Source organism: Homo sapiens, chromosome 4 (assembly GCF_000001405.40).
Source record: "Homo sapiens chromosome 4, GRCh38.p14 Primary Assembly".
NCBI lineage: Eukaryota > Metazoa > Chordata > Mammalia > Primates > Hominidae > Homo > Homo sapiens.
In genome coordinates, this window is record NC_000004.12 from 83,321,600 (window position 1) to 83,346,216 (window position 24,617).

General features: G+C 42.7%; 1 protein-coding gene across 4 annotated transcripts in view, besides 1 other annotated feature; it reads right to left on the reverse strand.

The window, feature by feature from the left end:
- HPSE (heparanase) overlaps nucleotides 1–13,554 on the reverse strand; it is a 42,693-nt gene extending 29,139 nt beyond the window's left edge. For 2 of the 4 annotated variants that reach the window (NM_001166498.3, NM_006665.6), the window contains exons 1-3: nucleotides 13,449–13,554; nucleotides 12,957–13,214; nucleotides 620–765 (exon numbers count right to left, since the gene is read on the reverse strand). In NM_001166498.3, the coding sequence (NP_001159970.1) occupies nucleotides 620–765; nucleotides 12,957–13,183 (373 nt within the window). In that variant the 5' untranslated portion in view covers nucleotides 13,184–13,214; nucleotides 13,449–13,554. Of the gene's footprint in view, nucleotides 1–619; nucleotides 766–12,956; nucleotides 13,250–13,448 lie in introns of those variants that run through there. The other 2 variants (NM_001098540.3, NM_001199830.1) reach the window with 2 other exon arrangements.
- Nucleotides 1,537–1,831: an enhancer, noted in NCBI's record as "tiled region #10996; HepG2 Activating DNase matched - State 8:EnhW". NCBI's record gives its function as "activates a minimal TATA promoter and a strong SV40 promoter by Sharpr-MPRA in HepG2 cells {active_cell/tissue: HepG2}" and the evidence as "EXISTENCE:reporter gene assay evidence [ECO:0000049][PMID:27701403]".

Sequence of the window (24,617 nt, forward strand, 5' to 3'; positions counted from 1 at the left end):
CTGCGCCCATCCTAGTAATTGTTAAGATACGATTTAACTTCCATTTGATGTCTGATAGCACTTCTGAAAGACAGGACAAATTTTCATGGCCCCCTAGGGCAGGTTTCTCAGGTGAAGGCCACAGCCTTTCAATATCAGAATCCCCTGACAAGCTTGCTAAAATCAGAATCTAACGTTGGAGCCCAGAAGTCCACAGATCTCGTTCACCCATATTCTATATTTAGAATAAATATCCTTCAATCTATCATTGTGTCTTTGGCTAGAAATGCTCTTTAGTTTGACGCGATTCTACCCACTTGCTCCCTCCAAGCAGTTCTATCCTTCAGCTACAATCACTGTTTTATTAATATTTACTGTACAATGAGCTCTCAGTTATATCCAGGACGCCTTTTTTTTTTTTTTTTTTTTGTGAGGCCTCACACTGAACATGACAAACATCATGATAAGGAAACCTGCCCACTGCCTCCTCCTCTTGTTCAGATTCCTCCACAGGTCAGATGAGGGGAGAGGAAGTTAATCTCATTAATTGTTAGGTGTGAGAAATAACAGTTTTCTCAAAGCATTCTCATGACGGACTGACGTTAATTAAAATATAGAGTGAATCTTTAAAAATTTTCACCCTGGTTGACTTGAGATTGCCAGTAACTTCTCTCTTCAAAGGTTGATTCCTTCTTGGGATCGAAAATTAGGAAGTCTGTCTTGGTGCCACCAAACCTCAGGTACGCAGGAGACAAGCCTCTGGCCAAGGTACGAAGCTTTGGAGAACTGTTAGGAAGACAAGCAAGAAAGTATAACTATTTTTTCCAAGACAATCTAGTCAAACATTCTTACTTCCTTCTTTCCTGGTGGACCTATTTCTTAACATTTCCCTGTGCAGGACTTAGAGGAGGAAATCACATTGTTTTGTTTTTGAGACAGAATCTTGCTCTGTTTTCCAGGCTGGAGTGCAGTGGCGCGATCTCACTTCACTGCAACTTCTGCTTGCCGGGTTGAAGCAGTTCTGCTTCTGCCTCCTGGGTAGCTGAGATTACAGGCAGTATTGTTTAATTTTTATTTGTTTTCTTATTGGGCATGATAGAAAGGGAATCATTGTTTAAAAGAGGAAGCATCTCAATCTGAATCTAATTGAAGGACTGATCTTCTAGGAACCTGAGGGCAATTTGTAGCTCTAATTCTGGCAAGAGCTTGTTTGTGTGTGTGTGTGTGTGTGTGTGTGTGTGTGTGTGTGTGTGTGTGTGTTTGTGTGTGGAGGGATGGGGTCTTGCTATGTTGCCCAGGCTGGTCTCAAACTTCTGGCTTCAAGTGATGCTTCTGCCACAGCCTCCCAAAATGCTGAGATTACAGGCATGAGCCACTGTACCCAGCCAGGAGCTTATGTTTTAACTTGACAAGTAGGATGGTGTTCAACACTTAAAAAAAACTCATAGCCTTTTATGATGGATGGGGAGAAAGAAATGATAGAATAGAAACTAAGGGAAAGACAGCTCTGTGTCTGTCTGAAAAATAGATCGTCCGAAACTATGGGACAGTAAAAAGATCAGCGGTTACCAGGGGCTGGGGGTGGAAATGCAGAGAGGGAGGGATGAATAGGTGGAGAACAGGGGATTTGCAGGGCACTGAAAATACTCTGTATGTTACTATAATGGTGGATACATGTCATTATACATTTGCTCAAACCCATAGAATGTACACCGACAGTGAACCCTGCCGTGAACTATGGACTTTGGGTGATAATGATGTGTCAGTGTAGGTTCATCAACTAGAACAAACACCTCTCTGGTGGGGATGTTGATAATGAGGGAGGCTATGCATGTGTGTGGGCAGGGGGTTTATGGGAAATCTCTGTCCTTGCATTCAATTTTGCTGTGAACCTAAAACTGCTCTAAAAAATAAAGTCTATTTAAAACACACACACACACACACACACACACAATTTGGTGAATGACTTTTTAAAAAGTCTTCACACACCTGTCTTTCCAGAGAAGTTTATAAATGACTTAGGATCTCTTCTCCTCTTCTTAACTCCTGCCTCCCTTCACCATTCCCCACCAAGGAAAATCATTCTTTTGTATTTAAGTCAAATGACTTAGAATTATATAGTATTCTAATTCCCATCACTGACACCTCTAATTTGAACAATTCTAAATGCATATTCTGTCAAGCCAAAAATGCTCCAAATGGGTGCCTATCATGTGCTTAGAATGGTACCAAATGCTAGAAAATGGAATTAGAATGATCTATAATCCCTTCCCTCAAAAAGATGAGGATGTTCATAAATATTTACATGAGCAAAACTAAGAAAACAGAAGACCTGGGTAAGAGAAACACCTGTCATACATTTCTGAAGTATCAAACATGCAATGCTGGCCACACTGCTTCCTGGAATGCTCTGAAAACATATTAAACCAATGCTAGCAACTCTTGGAATGGCCTAATTAGTTTGTCTACATGTAGGTTTATTTCAAGTCAGGAAATTATTCCTGGAGCACTGATTGCCAATACTTCTTCTTCTTCTTTTTTTTTTTTTTTTTTTTTTTTTGAGACAGGATTTCATTCTCATCATCCAGGCTGGAGTACGATGGCGTGATCTCAGGCCATTGCAGCCTCCACCTCCTGGGCTCTAGCAATTCGCCCACTTCACCCTCCCAAAGTGTTGGGATTATAGGCGTGAACCACCACACCTGGCCAAATTGCCAGTACCTCTTAATATCCTAGGAATTAAAGATCTGATCTAAAATTTAAAGTTTTAAGATGTGCTCATGCTTAATTAAATATGTATAATGCTATGTAAAATTTTCAAAGTATTTCTTTATGCTTAGGAAATAAACTAAAAGATAGAAATTGAACAAAATGTAAGTCTCTTGTGTTAAAACTTCAGTGATTCCTCCTCACCATATTTTTGTTTGTAACTTGGGAGTCCCTAAAAATACGGTGGGCTCTGACACTAGGAACCTCAGAATAAAGTGAGATTTTAAAATGTTATCAACCCGAATTCACCCTGACTGAAATACCTGACAGCCCCAAAGAGCTCTAGGAAGGATGGCATCTGTCATGGCATCCTCAAAACCACGGCTAAATAAATGGAAATGCTAATCTGAACTAAGTAAGGAAGAAGCAGCTATTTTCAGTTTGGTACAAACCCAAATAAAAATAAATTGTAGGGAGGGGAAAACAGAGGATGCACTATTGTTTAATGGGTACAGAGTTTCAGTTTGGGAAGACGAAGAAGTTCTGAGATAGATAGTGGTGATATTTGCACAACAATGTGAGTGTGGTGAATGCACCAAACTGCATACCTTAAAATGGCAAGATTTTATGTTTTGCGCATTTTGCCACAATAAAATAAATAAATAGTACTCATAGTGTAATTTTAACAATAAAAGAATATATATTTATATACAGGAGAGAATTATGCCAGGATGATAGCAATGGTCATTATGTGGTGAGCTAGATGGTAGACTTTTTCATTACTTTCCTGTATTTTACAAGTGTTCCATAACAAGCACGTTATATTTTAAATTATACAACTTGGTGTGTGTGTGTGTGTGTGTGTGTGTGTGTGTGTGTGTGTGTGTGTGTGTGTGTTTTGAGACAGGGTCTCTGTCATCCAGGCTGGAGTACAGTGGCATGATCTCGGCTCACTGCCACCTCTGCCTCCTGGGTTCAAGCGATTCTCTTGCCTCAGCCTCCCTAGTAGCTGGGACTATACGCACCCACCACCATGCCCAGCTAATTTTTGTATTTTTATTAGAGATGGGGTTTCACCATGTTGGCCAGGCTGGTCTTGAACTCCTGACCTCAGGTGATCCGCCCACCTCAGCCTGCCAAAGTGCTGGGATTACAGGCATGGGCCACCACACCTGGCCTGTGCGTCTGTTTTAATAGGTGAAAAAAGCAAGATTTACTTAAGGAGATAAAGCCATCTGTTAATTTATTCAACAAATATTTGTTGCAGGCTGACTCTGCCAGGCATTATGCTAGTTGCTGGAGATGAATGGTGAACCAGGCAGAGATAGTGGCTGTTCTCATACAATTTGTAGTTTAGTGATAGATACGAACAAGTAAATAGGCAATTCTTTAAAAATGCTATGGAAACATTCAGAGGGACTCCTAATCTAGACCTTGGGCTGAGGGTAGGGGGTTGGATAGAGAAGGTTTTTCAGGGGAAATGGTTTCACTGCTAGACATTCAAAAAGAATAAACCTTATCTAGATTAAAGAGAGTGGGGTAGGATTGAAGAAAGCATTCCAGGTGAAGGGAAAAGTCTGTCCAAAGACCAGAGATAGAAGAGAAGCTGGCACCATTGACGAGCAGAAGGGTGTGGTTGGTGCCTAGAGATGGGGGCAGAGAGGCTGGGAGAGAACAGAATGGAGAAGCAAATAGGGCCACATCACGGAGGGCCCCGTAAGCCACATGTCCAGGAGTGCCAACTTTATATGAGGGCAACGGTGAGCCATGGAAGGATCTGAAGCAGCTGGAGTGACCTCACCAGACTAAGAACAAGACTCTGGTCATGTTAACGTAGACAAAACGTGATGGACTGAGGTAAGGTAACAGCTCAGAGATGGAGAGAGATGGATAAATTCAAGACACACTTAGAGGTAGAAATAATAGATTTGAGTTTTTAAAATAACTTTTTTTAAATGAGACAGGTTTCACCTTGTTGGCCAGGCTGGTCTTGAACTCCTGGCCTCAAATGATCCACCTGCCTCAGCCTCCCAAAGTGCTGGGATTATAGGCATGAGCTATTGTACCTGGCCTAGATTTGATTATTAATTGGATGTTGAGGAGGAGTCAAGGATTACTCCTGGGAAGCTCCTTGGAAGATGGTAATATCATTTGCTGGATGAGGAACAGGTGATAGACTGAAGATGGGGAGGAACAGGGAGGAGAAGGGGCACTAAGTTTTGTAGAATTTGAGATACCAATGGAACACCAAAAAACATACTTCCATCCATCAGGCGCTTCGCCCTGTGTGTCTGGAACTCAGGAGACACATACAGGCCGGGAATATAGACAGGCGAGTCCTCAGTAGAAATGTCAGGGACTGGCAACCCCTAGCTCACAGGTCACAAGGTATGGCCCTAAAACCAAGATGAGGAACTTCCTCAGAGAGAACCACTCCAGGCTGGCCCTGTTCCACTGCCTTCAGCCAGGCACTGATTCTGTTCCTTGGCATTTTGATTGGGTTTGATGATAGAGGAACCTCATTTAGATTCCTCTAGCTGTATTTGTAAGCAGTCGCGGCTGGGCAAGAGACTGGGAAGTGGGAGGAAACGAGCACCTGGAAAAGTTGCTGTGGCATCACATGACGGGCATCTGTGAGTGACCTGGGTCACAGCCTGGTCCTTAGAGGTACAAACTGTACCACCTTGGGTCACTCTCCATCACACTGCGCTGCCTTCATTTTCTTCATAGCATTCATCACTCTCTGAAATCAACTTCCTTTTTCATTTCCTTGGCTTACTCTCTATTGCAGCCCCCATCTCTGCTGCAAGCTCCCTGAGAGCAGGGACCTGACTGACTTATCAGAATCTACCCGATACCTAGATAAGTACTTGGCACACCGCTGGTGTTTAATAAATACTTAAGTGAATGAATGAGCAAGGCCCGCCTGATGTAAGGGTAAGTCGCTGCCAGACAAAGACTTTCCTGAACAAAATGAAAACCCAATACTGTTTGGGTTTACCACTTGGACACTGCCAAGTACAAGAAATCACATTTCAAAGTTTTGGTATTAAGGACCTTTTTGTTTGTCTCCTTTGCAATGAAATATTTTCTTGTTTTGAGAAAATAATATTGACGCCCTCTGACAAAAACTAGATTTAATATGGGTGCAAAACATGCCATAAAACTAAAACTGATCAAAGGTACAGTATTTCAACCATATACAAGAAAAATAAAGGAAAAATAATCCCACCACCACAGTGACATGGAAATAACAGATGAATGCATAAAAGAAGCTTCAGCTATTCTATTTCTAGAGCAGTTTGTTAAGGAAAAAAAGGGGGCCTGCAGGTGTTTTTATTTTACCTTTTGTACAAAAATAAGTTACTTCTCTCTGACACAAAAGCAGAGGTGTGCTGGAGTTGGCTGTACCACGTTGTTGGCCTGTGAAAGCCAAATGTTAAATTTGGAGAAAATTTGTGAGCCAGTTGTTAAACTGTTGGCAGTTTGGAATTGGCCATGGAGGGAGTATTTACACCACAGAAATCAGCAAAAACCATCAACCAGTCTCCCCTCTTCCCAGAGAGCCAGTTGTTAAACAGTTTCCAGCACAGTACTGCATGAGCAGTAATTTAAGTAATTTCTGGAAGTGGGTGAGACCACCCAGGGGAATATGTGAAGTGAAAAGAAGGCCTAGGTCAGAAGTCTGAAGAACACCAATGTTTAAGACAAACTAGAGAGAGAGAGATGGAGAGGAATTGTTAGAAAACACCCCCCAACAAGAAAGGCGACAGACCTAAAGGGGTAAGAAAGTGCTTCCATTGTCAACCTTGCCAAATGCCTCCAAGAGACTGTATTAGTTTGTTAGGGCTGCAGTCGCAGAGTACTGCAAACTAATTGGTTTGAACAACAGAAATGTATTGTCTTACAGTTTTGAAAAGCCGAAACGTTGAATTCAAGGTAGTGGCAGGGCCATACTCCCTCTCTAGGCGCAGGAAAGGATTTGTTCCAGGTCTTTCTCCTAAGTTCCCATAGCTTTTTGACTCCAACTCCATAACTCCTGTCATCACATGGTATTCTCCCTATGTGCGTGTCTGTCTCCAAATTTCTCCTTGTTATAAGGACATCAGTCATATTAGATAAGCAGCCCATCACATTCCAGTATGACCTCATCCTAACTAATAACGTCTGCAATGACCCTATTCCCAAATAAAGTCACATTCTGAGGTACTGGGGGTTAGGACTTCTAATATGGATTTCGGGGTAACCTCATTCAACCCATAACAAAGACCAAATAAGATAAAGTGTTTATTAGGTTTCCCAACAAAGGAAGGCCATTGATGATGTCGGAGAGATTGATTTTAGTGACACAATGATGGTGCCATCATGAGGGCAGAACAGGAAGAACAGGCTGCCGAGGGGAGGGAAGAAACGGGGTGGTTTCTGCAGAGGCATGTGCGAGGAGGTAATTGAGATGGGAAAGGCTTGGGGAAAGGCTTGGGGAAAGGCTTGAGGAAGAAGCCAGTAAAATGGGAGGAGTTGAAGATACAGGAGAGGGAAGAGGTGACTGATAGAGCGAAGTCCTTGGGGGTTGGGGAGGGGACGGGATTCAGGGCAGAAATGGAAGAAGCAGACTGAGATCAGAGAAAGGAGGAAAGCTGGACTTAGGCATGACATGTCTGCAGATTTGATGACAGGAGGAAAAGGAAAAGGAAGTAATTGCTCATTTTCTTTGGGAAGCAGAAGTATGGTCATGTGCTAAGAATGATAAGGTGAAGGTGGAGTCAGAGATTTTTAAAAAGTAGAGAATGTGAAAGGCAGAGAAATGGAGAGTTAAGGGTAACACTAAGGGCCAGGGAAGTCTGGAAGCTAAAAAATGTTTGGTGCAACATCAGTCTGTGTGGCTGGGAGACTGTCCACTCCCTCCTCCCGCAAGAGCTCAATAGCCCAGCTATACAGGGTGGCCACTGAGACTGGAAATGAAGCATTAAAATGGCTTATTAATATACATTAAAATTAATAAGTAATATTTTTCCATTTCCAGGTTTTTGGGCCACCCTGTAGATTCCAAAGAGAGAAAATATGGTTGGACTAAACCAGGTTTAGTATTTTAGCAGGAAGAACAATGGAACAGGGATTTGGGGTTATTATTACAAGAGTGGTTCACATGATAAATTAAGAAGCTCAAATCAGATATGGAAGAAGTAGAGAGAGGAAGAAGCTGTTCAGTGGAGGTATTTAAAAATTGTTATGATGGGTGCTATGGAGTAGAAGAGCTATGGTCTGGCTCTCAGAAAAAAAGGTGCTCTGCTTTTTAGTATTTGCCAATTTCCATGGTAAATATTCTCACCATGGCTGATTTCCAGATACCCACAGGATGTCACTGAATACAGAGTTGAGATGAAATGCATACATTTCATGAGCTGGATAAGCTGGTTCTGTTACAACTTGAGTGTAACATTATCTGTTATAAAAAAATGTGAGTGAAGAAACTGAGACAGTTTATCTAGGTGACTTGAAGTCATCTAGGATGATGGTGAGACTAGGAAGTGGAGAGGAAACTGTGAGATCAGTGCCAGTCTTCAGTTAATAAGGGGGAGTAAGTAAGAGGGGGACAGAGTGCCGTAAGCAGGAGCACTGGATGAGAGCCAGATGTGGAGATGAGGAAAACACACTGAGTCATGGCATCACCCGTAATGCACATCAGGCTAGTCTACACTGAGCGTGTAGGGAAGCTACCCGCCTTCTTTCACTCAATTTCAAAATAACCCACTGAAGCAAATGGCATTATTATCGTCATTTTACAAACAAGGAACCTGAACAAAAGGAGGTAATTTGCCCAAGGTAACAAGTCAAAAGGGACTTGAACTATAGCAGTATGGAGTTCAAACTAGTGGGCTGTCATCCAGAAGCCAGACTGGAGAACAGGAAAAGAACTGGACTATGGGAGAATATGCAGCCATTACTCAAAAGGGCTACAGGGAAGACAGTGTCATCAGAGAATAGCCAAGTTGTAGCTTGGACAAGGAGGTAGAGGAGATATTCTGTGAGGAGGACAGAGCAGGTAACCCTGCAAAGGGCTCCAGGGCACAGTGGACAGGGTTAGTGGGGAAGGCAATAATAAGAGCTCAATCAGAGGGACAGCACTTCCCAGGAGTTAGGAGACATGAGGTGTGTGATTGTCCCCAGCCCTTTGTTTCCCTTTGGCTGTGAATATTTCTGCCATCAATAGGCACATGGGGAGTCTGCACCTCTTTCCAACACTGGTTATCAAAACGTGTGTTTAACATTGATAAGTAATTTTCTAAATGTGAAAAGCAACTCTGTCTATGAAGATGCAAGAATCTAATATTGAAAGTTTTTATCAGTAAATATTTATTGAATTGGCAAAAATGGATGAACTTTGCTGAAGGAAAATAAGCAAATTGCAATGAAAAGCAAGCATGGTTGCATTATCACTGAGATTGCTGTTCGTACCACTTTTGCTCTGCAGTATTTAGGATTTCTACCACCGACTCAGCACTATACTTTTTTTTACCGTGCATTAGTGAACTATGCTTGTATACGTGTCTTAATTGAAATGCAGATCTGTACTGTCCACTACCATAGCACTAGCTACATGTGGCTACTGAACGCTTGAAATATAGTTAATCTGAGGCCGGGTGCAGTGGCTCACGCCTGTAATCCCAACACTTTGGGAGGCCGAGGTGGGCATATCACCTGAGCTCAGGAGTTTGAGATTAGCCTGGCCAACATGGTGAAACCCTGTCTCTACTAAAAATACACAATTAGCCAGGCGTGGTGGTGCATGCCTCTAGTCCCAGCTACTTGGGAGACTGAGGCAGGAGAATAACTTGAACCCGGGAGGCGGAGGTTGCAGTGAGCCGAGGTAACGCCATTGTACTCTAGCTTGGGTGACAAGAGCAAAATTGTCTCGGAAAAAAAAAAGAAAGAAAGAAATATAGTCTGAGAAGTGCTGTAAATAATACACGCCAGATTATAGAATAGACTTGGTTTGAGAAAAGGAATAATAAATACCTCATTAATATTTTTATATTGATTACATGCTGAGAAAACATTTTGGATCTATTGAACTAAATAAAATTATTAAAATTAATTTCACTTGTTTCTTTTTACCTTTTTAATATGGCTACTAGAAAATTTAAAATTACATATGACCTTGCATATGAGGCCCACATTATATTATATTTCCATTGGACAGTGTTGATTTAGGGCTGGGCTCTCTTTGGAGTTCTGCACACAGTTAGGCTTAGGAAGTATTTTGATTGGTTTCTTGATTAAGTCCCTCTGGGAAGACGACAAATTGAAAGATTTTTTCTTTCAAATTTTAGATTGCTCTATCATTGGTATTTAAGTTTTGTGTGGAGTTGGGCTGTACACAATGTATTTGCCATCATGGAGACTAGAACCACGCCAGTGACTAAGTTTGCTTAGGCCTCTTTGAAGTACCTTAGATGAAGGTTTGGGCCCTGATACTGTTACTCTCATGTGAATGCTTCTTTTCATTATATCAATCTCTCAATTCCTTTCCAAACAATCTTTTTCTACCATATCCTACTCTCTTTCCTTTAAAAAATATAATCTGCTTTCCCTTTTTATGGGCACTATTATCTCATGTGATCAGAGTCTAGTTTCAAACTGTGGCCAAGTTACTTAACCTCCCTGAGCCTCACTTTCTTCATTTTTAAAATGGGGGTGACAAAACTAGTCACTCACAGTGTTGTAGCCAAGACTAAATGGATTAATACCTAGAAGGTGCTTAGAACAGGGCCAGGCAAATGACAAGAACTGAGGAAGTGTCAGCTGTTTGTGTCCTCCTCTCTTTCCTTATTCCTTCAGCTTTCGTCTGCTCAGCTCTTGCCATCCCGCCCACACATCTTCACTTTTGAGGAACTGTAATAAATTAAACAACAGGCGTCTTACTCTCCTCTACTGTGGACCCCTACAAAGCTTAGTGTTGTCTTCTGAGATGGCTGGGCTGTTTGGGCCCTGTGCCCCTCCTGGGGAGATGGACCCTCACACTCTAATTTAGAAGCTAGGTCTTAGATGAGGAGAGGGGGTTCCTCCCTCTTTTAGGTCTTAGCAGATAACACTCTGGGTGTGCTTGTCGATGCGTCTGGGGAGCAGGTATGGCAGATGGCCTCTCCAAGCGAAGCGGGCTGGAACAGACAGCAGCCAGCCTTGGAGAGAAGCACGTATGGACAAGAATGAACTGTTTTGTAAACCAGAAAAAAAGTTTTATGTATCACATGTTATGCTCTCTTGGTATTTCATTATACTCCAGTCTTTAACAAAAAGGTGCAGAGGAGGGGAAAAAAGGGTGCTCTGGGAAATGAAGAGATGTATTTAAGAAGAATAAAGGTATCATCCTCACTAAATTGCAGATTGGAATTTCTACGTGTTAGGGGGGTGTTAGTCAATTGCGGGGAGCTTGACTGCTGGGTGATCAGGCCCAGATCCTGGAAGTCCCACTGTATGTTTTTTCTTTTGGACCTGTTACTCCAGGGGGGAACCCCCATCTGTCCTTTCTTGGGGAGAGGTTGGGGAATATGCTGGCTACAGCAATAGAAGAGGCCTCAGGTCCTCACATTTCAGTAAATGGACATCTACTTCATACCCATGTTCAGTAACCGCCCCCCCCCACCCCACACCCCAGCAAGCTAAGACTGGGGTCCTGTGATCTGGAGCCCTATGGTTCAGCATTTCTCTGGAACAATCTTCCTATCCCCCAACTAGTTGCTGCCTAGTATCAGCTTCCTATCCTTAAGGGGAAGGGCAGAAAGTAAGGATTCTTCCCCACCAGAAAATTGTAGTGCCAGAAGGAAAAGGAGAGGTTAACTATGATCCAAAGAAACAGAAAACCGGTGAATGGCTACCAAATGCTCACCATGTCCTAGAAAGAAACAATTCGTTTGAAACGTCAAACACTTACTATGGGTCAAACACTGAGAAGCTCTTACCATATCATCAAATCCTCGGGCAATAATCCTTGAGGCAAGCTTGAGAAATTCCATTCTACAGCTGAAGAAATCAAGGTTGGTGTGGCCAAGAGATATGGAAAAACCAAGTCACTCATCTTTGCCAGAGCTGAGAGTCAAGCCAGGATGGTCTGTCCATCTCTTAACCAGTACACTACCCATTAAATTAGCGCTGGCAACTATAGTGTGGGCTCAGGGAGGACAGCATCTAGGTATTTGACACAGAGGTGAGATAATGGTGATCTTTCCCTCTATCTGGGCTGGTCAAGATGTGGCCATCTCTGGAGGCTCCCAGGGCCTAAATAAGAGGCCTAGAAGACCTGGGATTGTCCCTGTAGCTCCCCATCTTGGAGTCAGCCTGCATTCATGGGGCAGGAGCCCTGAACCTGCATCAGGTTCCTTCTTTCTCAGGTAAGGAAAAAACTTAGAGCTGATAAGGCAGCACCACATTTTGCAGCCCCATTTTGGAGAGACATCTTTTTATTAGGACTTTGTAAGTCACTGCAGTAGTCTCCTAGGTCTCATTTATTGAATATTTAGATTTTTATTCCTGTTCTGTGACGCCCTTTTCATCTGCCTAAAAAAAAAAAAAGAAAAGAAAAAAGAAAAAGAAAAGAAAAGAAAGAGAAATCTTCCTAACACAGTCTTAAATACAGAAGGCTATGCACAATCTTACTTGTCCTACACTGCACAGCAAATCAAGCACTCACAGGCCTTCAGGTGCACCTGCCTGGTTTCCCTCCTCTTGGCTAGGGAAGTACTGGGGCAAGTGGGCAGTTTCTTTTTCAAATTTCCACTTATACCTGACCTTAGGTGGTGCCTATTCAACACTTACAGAATGAATGAAACAAAAAGGCTCATTTAGAGTGGGCGCTAAACAATGTGTACACATGGACTTAGTGGAATAGTAGACACTGGAGACTCCAAAAGGTGGGAGGGTGGGAGAGGGATGAGGGATGAGAAATTACCTATTAGATACAATGTACAACATTCGGGTGACAGTTACACTAAGAGCCCAGATGCCACCACAATGCAATATACCCATGGAACAGAACTGCACTTGTAACCCCTAAATCTATTTTTTAAATGATACCCCCCAAAAAGCAGTTTGGGGTCTGAGAGTAAGGGAGGGAGAGGGAGAATGAGAGGCGGGAAGTGGGGTGGGGAGAGACAGGCGGGGAGGTTCCGGTGTGAAGTTGTTTCCGCGCAAAAGAAGGAGAGCGGCTGGCGGGGCAGACATAGGTGTCAGGAGGACAGGAAAGGGGACAGGACCAGGAGGCTGGCGCTTACCCCAGGAGGATGAGGAACCGCGGGTCCGTGGCCAGGTTGGCGTCAATGGTGACGGACAGGAACGAGGGGCTCACCAGGTGCAGCGGCTCCTGGGTGAAGAAGTCCAGGTCCACGACGTCCTGTGCTTGCGCAGGTCGGGGCAGGGCGCCAGGGGAGAGGGGACCCAGCGGCCCCAGGAGCAGCAGCATCAGCGGCGGCGGCAGCGCAGGCTTCGAGCGCAGCAGCATCTTGGGCTCACCTGGCTGCTCCCCCCGCCAGCTGCCGCGCAGCGGAGAGTCGAGAGCTCTAGCACTTCCTCCCGCCGAGCCCCAGCGCCCTTTTCTCCTTTCCTCCGCCCCGTTACGCCTCCTCACCCCTCCCACTGCGCCCTCCATCCCTCCCACTCCTCTTCTGCATCCCTCCCACTGCTCCCAATCCAACCCCGCCCCGCCTGCCCGGCTCTCTCCTACTTCCTTGCTCGCTTTCCCCTCGGTGGCGGTCACGTTCACTTACGAAATCACCCACACCCACTTGAAGGGTGCGGAGATGGCCGGGATCCAAGCGCCCGGGAGGCCTGGGGAGGAGCGCCCGGGGAGGAGCGCCCGGGGAGCAGCGCTGGGCATCCCGGACCAGGCTTCCTGACGCACGTGTTCTGCGCGCTCTCGTGGGAACCCAGCGTTTCCGACTCCCAGATCCCATTCTGATGGCGCCGGGTATCCCTCTGACCCTCGAGTAAAACCTCCAATGGAGTATTCATCCCTTCCTCTCCCATCTAGCTTATAAACACTTGCTTGTCACTTGAGCCAGCCAAAATCTGATTGTCCTCTGGCCAGGCAGTTTCTCAGGTATTTTACTTTTGCTTGAAAAAATCTGGCCTCAGCATACGCTAAACTGCAGCTGGAAAGAGATCAACCACCCAAAATTCTTTATCAACTTCTCATTAAGACAATATTTAGCAATCTTAAAGGGTTAGTTGCTCCAATGTCTGGAACTCAGGACCTGAAGCCCCCATACAAAGTGTAGAGTACGGACTGCCCCTGAATTTGGAGCCTTTGCCAAATTTCTCCTCTGCGCATTTATCTTTCGCTGTTGGTCAGACTTTTCTTCAGCTTTTCCTTGATGCTTACACTGATGTATAATCATAGCAAGCATCGCACGCTTAGTGCCTACTGTATGCCTGATACAGGTGCTTTACTTGTGTTCTCTTCCCTTCTCACAACCCTGCCAAGTGCATACTGTCCTTGTTTTACACATGCGGACCCAAGCTCTGAGACAGTAACTGGGTGAAGTGTCAGAATCGGGATGTGAAGTGTCAGAATCGGGATGTGAATGCAGTTACAAAACCTCGAGCAGATGGCAGTGTGTTTCAGCTGAAATGTAACTTCCCTCAAGGAAGCTTTCTCTCAATCTCCAGGCAGCTCTCCATGACACACTCTCATAGCATCCTCAATTTGTTAGACACTCTCGTAGCATCCTCAATTTGTTAGACACTCTCGTAGCATCCTCAATTTGTTAGTATTGTGATGTTGCTCAACATTGGCTTCATCTACTAGATTATATGCTCCACCAAAACAGAGATTAAGTTTGTCTCACACGCTATGCTAGCCATAGCTCAGGCATGTGATCATGTTGGTGCTTAGTAAGAGTCTAATAAATATTGGTTGAGTAAGCAAATAACACCAAAACCCTTAGATTTTTCCACTTGAGATTGTACCACCAATAAGGCAACAAATAAAAATAGATTATTTTGAAATGCATATCTAATTTGCATAAATCAGGCCAGGCATGGTATGTGATGCCAGTGATGCCATCATGCCTGTGATGCCAGCATTTTGGGAGGCCAAGGTGGGAGGATTGCTTGAGCCGAGGAATTCAAGAACAGCCTGGGCAACATGATGAAACCCCATCTCTACAAAAAATACAAAAAATTAGCCAGGCGTGGTGGCCCGTGCCTGTGGTTCCAGCTACTGGGGAGGCTGAGGTGGGAGGTTTATTTGAGCCTGGGAGGTGGAGGTTGCAGTGACCCTTAATCACACCACTGCACTCCAGCCTGGGTGACAAAGTGAGACCCTCTCTTAAAATAATAATAATAATTATCATTATTTGCATAGATCTACCTATTCTTAAGCAACTTAAAAGCTAAGCTCATAGTGAGTTTTGCAACTAGAATCAGGTTCATATCCTACAATTACTGTATACATATGAAAAAAAATTCACACATAAACACCACACTACCAGAAGAGTGTAATAATATGGTAGCAGACGTGGAGTTGGAAAAACAGAAGTTTCTTTTCCACATTTGTCATGACATTAATCTTACACCCCACCCCATGCCCCTGACTCCTGTTGTGAGTCAACAGTCATACCAATTTCTTTCTTTTTTTTTTTTTTTGAGACGGAGTCTCGCTCTGTCGCCCAGGCTGGAGTGCAGTGGCACCATCTCGGCTCACTGCAAGCTCTGCCTCCTGGATTCACGCCATTCTCCTGCCTCAGCCTCCCGAGTAGCTGGGACTACAGGGGCCTGCCATCACCCCCGGCTAATTGTTTTGTATTTTTAGTAGAGATGGGATTTCACCATGTCTGTCAGGATGGTCTCAATCTCCTGACCTCGTGATCTGCCCGTCTCAGCCTCACAAAATGCTAGGATTGCAGGCATGAGCCACTGTGCCATGCCCAGTCATACCAATTTCTTTAACATGTTTGGGTGATTTGAAAAGTGGACCATTGCAAGTTTTCTAAATAGTGCATCCTTGTGGTCTACATGTGAGTTACTAATATGGAAACGGGGGGCCGGGTGTGATGGCTCACACCTGTAATCCCAGCACTTTGGGAGGCCAAGGCGGGTGGATCACTAGAGCCCAAGAGTTCAAGACCAGCCTGGGCAACATGGTGTAGCCAGGAGTGGTGGCGCAGACCTATAATCCAAGCTACTCAGGAGGCTGATGCATAAGAATTGCATGGGAGGCAGAGATTGCAGTGAGCCAAGATCATGCCGCTGCACAATGGGAGACAGAGCAAGACCCTGTCAAAAAAAAAAGAAAAAAAAGAAAAAGAAAAGAAACTGGGAAAACAAAAACGAGGGGGCAGAGAAGCAATTTGCACACATGATGATCTGTTGGCTGAGATCTTGCTCCTGCTTCTAATTTGGTTTGATTTACAATGTCTGATAAGGATGTATGATATGGATACATAGGAAGGAGGAACATATAGGAATATTAATAGGAACTATCATTTCAGAGATATTTTATAATAAGACACCTTAATTTTTATAGCAAGTTACAGCTACATACATCCTAGCTAGAGCCCTTTTTCATACATCTTAGCCCTGCAGCTTGATGGGATGTACAATCTTGGGCCAGATCGTCAATTTCCAAGAGCCTCAATTTCTTCATCTATATAGTAGGGGTAATAATACATATTTCATAAGATTTTTTTTTTTTGAAACAGGGTCTCACTCTGTCACCCAGGTTGGAATACAGTGATGTGATCTTGGCTCACTGAAACCTCCACCTCCACACTCAAGCAATCCTCCCACCTCAGCCTCCCAAGTAGCTGGGACCACAGGTGTGCCCCACCATGCCCTGTTAATTTTTTGCATTTTTGGTAGAGATGGGGTTCCTCCATGTTGCCCAGGCTGGTCTCAAATTGCTGAGCTCAGAGATCCACCCACTTATGCTTCCCAAAGTGCTGGGATTATAGGCATGAGCCACCATGCCTGGCCCATAGTCTTTTTTTAAAGAATTAATTGACAATAATGTAACACAGCTAGCTCCATCTACAATGTGAGGTATGTGTTTAACAGATGAGAGATTATTTTTTAAAAAATTATTACCCCCACTTAATCTTTGCAATAACCTTGTAAAGTAGATTTACAGCTTTCTGATTCCAAGCCCAGAGTTTTTCCACTACCTCACGCAGATTTAGGGACTCACAAATTATGTGATGAAAATGATTTAGAAATAAAAAACTTTAAATGAACTAGAAAGTTTATGTGAACGCTTTATTAATTATGGGGCTGGGTGCAGTGGCTCACACCTGTAATCCCAGTGCTTTGGGAGGCTGAGGAGGGAGAATCGCTTGGGCCCAGGAGTTTGAAACCAGCCAGGGCAACATAGCAAGATCCCATCTCTAAAAAAAAAAAAAATGTTTTTTAATTAGCTGGATGTGGTGGCATGCACTTGTAGTACCAGCTACTTCACAGGCTAAGGTGGGAAGCTTGCTTGAGCCCAGGAGATAGAGACTGCAGTGAGCCATGATCATGCCACTGCACTCCAGCCTGGACAACAATGTGAGACTCTGTCTCAAAAAATATTAATAAATAAAAAATAAATGCATAAAAATACAAAAAATAATTATCATGTGATCTCATTTCCATGTGGTCTGTGGATTGATTTTCAGTACTGGCATTGGGTTTTTAGGGATTCACACAAGGTTTACCTGGTCAACAATTACAAACACTTGTAAAACAACAGACTGATTTCAGGATATTTTCAGAAAATGATAATCTTATCACTTGTCTGTTTAGAAAATTAAGACTTTTCTAATGTAGAAATCTCTGAATGTGGGCAAACTTTTAGGCATTTGTAGTTATCTCCGGGCAAATAAATAGTTACAAATGTGTTGTTTTGAGTTATTGGGTTATGACTTTCTAAAGTTAAGTTTTGCTTTTAATTATTTGCCAATCAAACTGTATTTCAAAGCAAGGAGAAATTAAGAGAAAATTTTTGCTGAATGGTGAAAGGAAGGAAGTTAACATCTATTGCATGCATGGTGTTCTACAATGTGCTTTCACATATTCGTTTATTCATCTATTCATTCAAGTAGTTATTGGGCACCTACTATGTACCAAGCACTGAGCTAGGCAACTGTAAGCAGCAAGCAGGGATTGTTCCTGTGCTCTGAAGTCTTACTGGGGAAGTAGAAGGTATTTTAAAAATCACAGGATGGTGGTGGCTCACGCCTGTAATCTCACTGCTGAGGCAAGTGGATCACTTGACTCCAAGAGTTCAAGACCAGCGTTAGCAACATAGTGAAACCCCGTATCTTCCCAAAATACAAAAAATTAGCTGGCATGGTGGCATGTGCCTGTGGTCCCAGCTACTCAGGAGGCTAAGTCAGGAGTATTGCTTGAGCCCGAGAGGCAGAGTTTGCAGTGACCCAAGATTGCGCCATTGCACTCCAGCCTAGGCAACAGAGACAGACTCTGTTTCAAAATAATAATAATAATAATAATAATAATAATAATAATAATAATAATGAATTTAAAAATATCACGCAAAAGTGAAATTGCAAGTGTGGTAGGTGCTCCAAAGGTGATCATGGTGCTTTACGTGTGTATGAGGTAGAATTTCGATTTGGGGGGAGGGGCCATTGAGGATGTGACACTTAAGATCTGAAAGATGAGTAGACAACTAGGTAGAGGGAAATCATTCAAGGCTAGGGGAATGGCCTGTGGAAAGGTCCTGTGGTGTGTGAGAGCATGGATAGTGAGGGGACTGAGAGAAGGCTGGGGTGTCTGGATTAGAGAGAGCAAGGGGACAGCTGAGGATGTAGGAACAAACATTGCTGAGCCTTGCAATATTTTTAGAGCAATGAGAAGCCATTGAAAGGGCTTCAAGCCTGGGGTGGGTGCTGTGATAGGATCAGATTAATGTTTAATTAAATTAAATTAAATTATTTATTTATTTGAGACAGGCTCTTACTTTGTCACCCAGGCTGGAATACAGTGTCATGATCTCAGCTCACTGCAACCTCCACCTCTCGAGAGGAAATGATCCTCCTGCCACAGCCTCCAGAGTAGCTGCAACCACAGGCATATGCCACCATACCTGGCTAATTTTTGTGTTTTTTGTAGAGACATGGTCTTGCCATGTTGCCCAGGCTGGTCTTGAACTCCTGGACTCAAGCAATCCACCCACCTTGGCTTCCCAAAGTACTAGGATTACAGGTGTGAGCCATCATACTCTGCCTCAGATTCATATTTTAAAAGGGTAAACTATAAATGTTCTGTTTCCTCTGCTATACAGATGCCTGTTCATAGAACATGGATGTGCATTTCTCTATAGATATAGAGTCTCTATTTTTTAAATTATGCTTTTATGTATATATATATATATATATATACCTACATACACATGTATACACATAAGCTTATACACACACAATTAATATTTATTTCTCTCTGTGCCTGTGGGCAACTGGGTACTGGGAATCAGCAAGTGAACTAGAGGATGACAGAGAAAGCAGGAAGCATCCCTAGAGCAAGAACTAATAAACTCAGTGACCACACACTCTAACCAGATAGATTATTATCCTGTAGGCTGAGGGGTTATTCAAAAGTCCCTAAAGAGCTGACTGCCCGAGTTTGGTCACCTGTCTCTGGCATATGAAGGCCCTGCAAGATGTTAATTATACTCATTCCAAAAAAAGCATAATCAAGTGAATTGAGGGGGACATTGTTTATGTTGCTCTCAGGCTCTGTAAATGGTATATACAGTATAAACACAGGGCATATGTGTGTATGGAAAACTCTCTCTCTAACCATGCTTTTTCCTCTACTCTCAAACCACAACAATCATCAACATAAGACCACTTCTGTGACCACAGGTGTGTGTGGTTTTTCCCCCACACACCAAGCAGCAGACACCAGCTGGGTGTTCTTTAATTCAGTTCTGACACTATCTACCCGGAGATAGTGTCAGATTCCACAAGTTGAGAGCTCAGTCCCCAAGACTGCCTCCCCCTTCCACACTAGTCACAGGTCTGGGCCTCTGAAACTTCTTACCAACATGCTTCAAGTTGGGGCTTCCATGGCCCCCTTTTTGGATTTGACTAATTTGCTGAAGTGGCTCACAGGACTCAGGAAAACACTTACTTATATTTATTGGTTTATTCAACCCTTCCTCTCCCATCTAGCTTATAAACACTTGCTTGTCACTTGAGCCAGCCAAAATCTGATTGTCCTCTGGCCAGGCATTTTCTCAGGTATTTTACTTTTGCTTGAAAATATCTGGCCTCAGCATACGCTAAACTGCAGCTAGAAAGAGATCAACCACCAAAATTCTTTATCAACTTCTCATGAAGACAATATTTAGCAATCTTAAAGTGTTATTGGTTTATTATAAAGGATATTACAAAGGATACAGGTGAAGAGACGTGAAGGGGTCAGAGCTTCCATGCCCTCCCTGAGTGCCACCTCCAGGAACCCTCACACATTTAGCTATCTGAAAGCTCCCTGAACGCAGTCCTCTTGGGTTTTTATGGAAACTTTATGATGTCAGCATTCCCTCCCCCAAGGTATACCACAGGAGTCTCTCTGGAGAGGGTCTTAACACCCACAATCAGAAAGGCAGAATGTATTAGTCCATTCTCACTCTGCTATAAAGAAATACCTAAGAATGAAAAAGAAAATAAAAGGAAAAAGAAATACCTGAGACTCAGTAATTTATAAAGAAATGAGGTTTAATTGTCTCATGGTTCTGTAGGCTGTACAGGAAGCATAGCAACATCAGCTTCTGGGGAGGACTCAGGGAACTTACCATCATGGCAGAAGGCAAAGAGGGAGCGAGGCACTTCACATGGCCAGAGTAGGAGGAAGAGAGAGACTGGTGAAGGGATATAGACTTTTAAATAACAAGATCTCAGGAGAACTCACTCACTTTCATGAGAACAGCACTGAGGGGATCATGATAACCCACTCATAAGAAAGTGCCCCGGTGATCCAATCACCTCCCACCAGCCACTACCTCCAACACTGGGGATTACAATCTGACCTGAGATTTGGGTGGGGACATAGACCCAAACCATATTATGAAACATTAGGGTCCTTCCTTGGGTCAGGTGAAAGGAGGGCAGGAGAAGGTCAGAGGCCTGCCCCTGAGGCCTAACGCACCCAACATTATGACAAAAGACTCTAAGAGGGGCTATCAGAGTTATGAGCCAGGAACCATGATTGAAAACCAATATATATCATAATATCACAGCACAGAAGGAAGAACTCTACCAAGTGCGTTGAACATAAAGAAGTGGTTGGGGTGGGTAGATTGGGAGAAAGTGTCTCATCCTGATATTATATGTAGACTACACTTCTGCTATGTGCTTGGCTTTTGGCCAGATGTCAGTATTTTGGCTCTCTCAAGAAACATGTGCTTCGAAGTAGGGCAAAAATACTTTCTGTTTTGTGGACTCCAAATAAGGAGTCAATAAGCGAAGTGGACTGTGTAGGAAACACTCCTTGTGAAAGATCTCCTTTATCACTGGTGACTAAGGCCTTGTAATGGCTACCCTTTGCATCCAGATTCAGCCAAGGTGCATGTTGGAGTGACCAAAGAACTGGATAGACAATTGCTTTTACAACTTTAATTGAATTGTTGATTCAGGCATTGTTATGGTTTGAATGTGTCCTCCAAAAAGCACATGTTGAAATTTAATAGCCATTGTAACTATTAGGAGGTGGGACCTTTAAGAGATGATTAGACTATTAATCGATTAATGCTGTTATTGTAGGAGTGGACTTGTTAGAAAAGAACAAATATAGCTCCCTTTAATCATTCTCTCGCCTTCTCCTTCTACCTCCCTCCATAGGACGATGCAGCAAAAAAATGCGCTCGCCAGATGTGGGCTTCTCAATCTTGGATTACTCAACCTCCAGAATTGTGAGAAATCAATTTCTATTCATTATAAATTACCCAATCTCGGGTATGCTGTTACAGCAGCATAAAACAGACTAAGATAGGCATGATTGTCCAATTGTTTGAATATTGTATTAGACTTTGTCATTATTTTATTAAATGAATAGAAAATGGAAAGTGCTATTGATAAGAAACATGAGTCTCATTAACTTATTTCATTTGCAACCAGGTGGAAAAGCATTAGGTATGCTAGTAGAGACAAATCTTTATCCTCGGTCTGATACTCAAGATTTAAAACAGAAATGAAATGTGTTTTCACTTCTGAAGAAAAACTCATACTAAAGAACCTATTCAAGAATGTTAGAAATAACCCTATTTCAGTACCAACCCAAACAAATAAACCTTATTAAAAACCATTTATGAGGCAATCAAAGAAACATGGACTGGATATTGAATGATATTAAACAAGTTATTGTTAACTTTTTAAGGATAGAAAATTGGCATTGTGGCTATTCAAGTATGCTTGTCTTTCAGAGATATCTGCTGAAGTATTTATAGGTAAACTGATATGATGTTTAGGATTGGCTTCAACATAATTTCTTAGGGAGAAAGGGAGTAGGTACAGATATGGATAAAACAAGATTGACTCTGAGTGAAAAATTATTGAAGCTGGGTGATGAGTACATGATGGTTGTGGCAGATTTTATTTTTTAAATGTAGCAGTAATGTTTTCCATCCATGTTCGTCTGTAATTTGACTTTTCCATCATCCCATAGAAAGGCAAGGATCTATGCCCTTTCCCCATGACTATTAGGCAGGCTTTAATCAATAAAGTAAAACAAATAAAACAATGTGACATCTGAGGCCAGTCTATGAAAGGCCACGCAGCTCCCACCTTGATTCTCTTGGCATGCTTATTCCCCGGACACTTCTTCTGAGGATGCTCTGTCTGGGAACCCAGCTGCCATATTATGAGAAGCTCAAATCATGCTGAGCGTGGTGGCTCATGCCTATAATCCCAACACTTTGAGAGGCCAAGGCAGGAGGATCTCTTGAGCCCAGGAGTTCAGGAGCAGCCTGGGCAACATAGCAAGACCACATCTCTTGGAAAAAAAAAAAAAAAGAAAGAAAAGAAAAGAAAAAAAGGGAAAAAAGAAAAAAGTTATTTTAAAGAAAAACATTATTTAAGGAAGAGAGAAGCTCAAGTCAAATGGACAAACCATGTGTAGATGTTCCAGCCCATAGCCCCAACCAAGCCCAGCCTTCAAGTTATCCCACCCCGGAACCAGACATAAGACTGAAGAAACTTGCAGATGATTCTGGTCCTAGTGATTCAAGTTACACTAGCCTTTCTAGTCTTTCCAGTGGAAGCCCAGACATCATGGAGCAGAAAGAAGCCATCTCTACCATGCACTGTTCAAATCCTGATCTTCAGAATCTATGAGCATAATGGCTCTTGATTTATATCATGGATTTGGAGTAACTTGTTACATAGCAAAATATAAATGAAATTGGGATGTGTTATGCCATTCTGTTTATTACTTTTGTATATATTTGAAATTGTCTGTAATAAAACATTTTTTAAAAACTTGTATGGCCATTAAAAAAGAATGCTAGAAATACACCATCAGACTTTTCTAAAAGGTGAGATACGATTGGGAATTTTACAATGATTTTAGCTCTTTGGAGACAGAGTCCTCCTTACAGTATGGAAAACTTTCACAGACTCCTCAGTCATACACATTGCAGCATGTGTGAAAGTCAGTGACTGTCTGGATGGGTTTATTTGTATTAAATGGGAGAGAAGAGACTATGGTGAGTAGCCAGCAGGGAGAATACAATATTCAAAGTGAAAGGGTCAAATTAGAATAAATTTCAGCTTCCAGGTGCTTTGCTAGATTTTATATGCAGAAAACTAGCCCAAACCCTTATTTCTTCATGGATTTTGGGATTCAGGACAGTCTTTCTTCCCCACCCCACCATGGTTGATTAACTTCCTAGGAGTCCTGCAGAAAGGGCTGATCAACTAAGTTGAAGACCTATGTACTTCTCTTTTTTTTCCCTTTGTTACCTGTGCTTTGTGAGGGAGTATGTTTTATATTTTTCCAAAACGGAAATAGCTTTATTTTATTTCTGTTTATAAAGTGAATACATGTTCTTTTTAAAAAGTTAGTTTATTTATGCCAGGTGTGGTGGCTCACACCTGTAATCCCAGCACTTTGGGAGGCTGAGGTGGGCGGATCATGAGGTCAGGAGATCAAGACTTTCTTGGCTAACATGGTGAAACCCCGTCTCTACTAAAAATACAAAAAATTAGCCAGGCGTGGTGGTGGATGCCTGTAATCCCAGCTACTTGGGAGGCTGAGGCAGGAGAATCACTTGAACCCAGAAGGTGGAGGTTGCAGTGAGCCGAGATTGCACCATTGTACTCCAACCTGGGTGACAAAGCAAGATTCCATCTCAAAAAAAAAAAAAAAAGTTAGTATATTTAGAAACCACCCAATTGTCAATAGATGGATGAATGAATAAAGAACATGTGGTATATATAAAAGGTCTTCAAAACATTCATGGAAAATATATATTATGAAAAAACTATGCATAGATTTTGAATTTTTTGTACCAAAATAAAGTCCTACTAACTTGTTATAACAAGTCTGGACAGAATCTAATATGATGCACTAAGAAGGATAACACATCACTTTGAAAAGACCCCTGTATTAGTCCATTCTCATGCTGCTATAAGGACATACCTGAGACTGGGTAATTTATTTTAAAAAAAGTGATTTAATTGATTCAGAGTTCTGCATGACTGGGGAGGCCTCAGGAAACTTACAATCATAGTGGAAGGGGAAGCAAACATTTCCTTCTTCACATGGTGGCAGGAGGGAGAAGTGCAGAATGAAGTTGGGAAAAGTGCATTATAAAGCCATCAGATCTTGTGGGAACTCACTCCCTGTCATAAGAATGGCATGGGGGACCATCCCCATGATCTAATCACCTCCCACGAGGTACCTCCCCCAACATGTGGGGATTACAATTCAAGATGAGATTT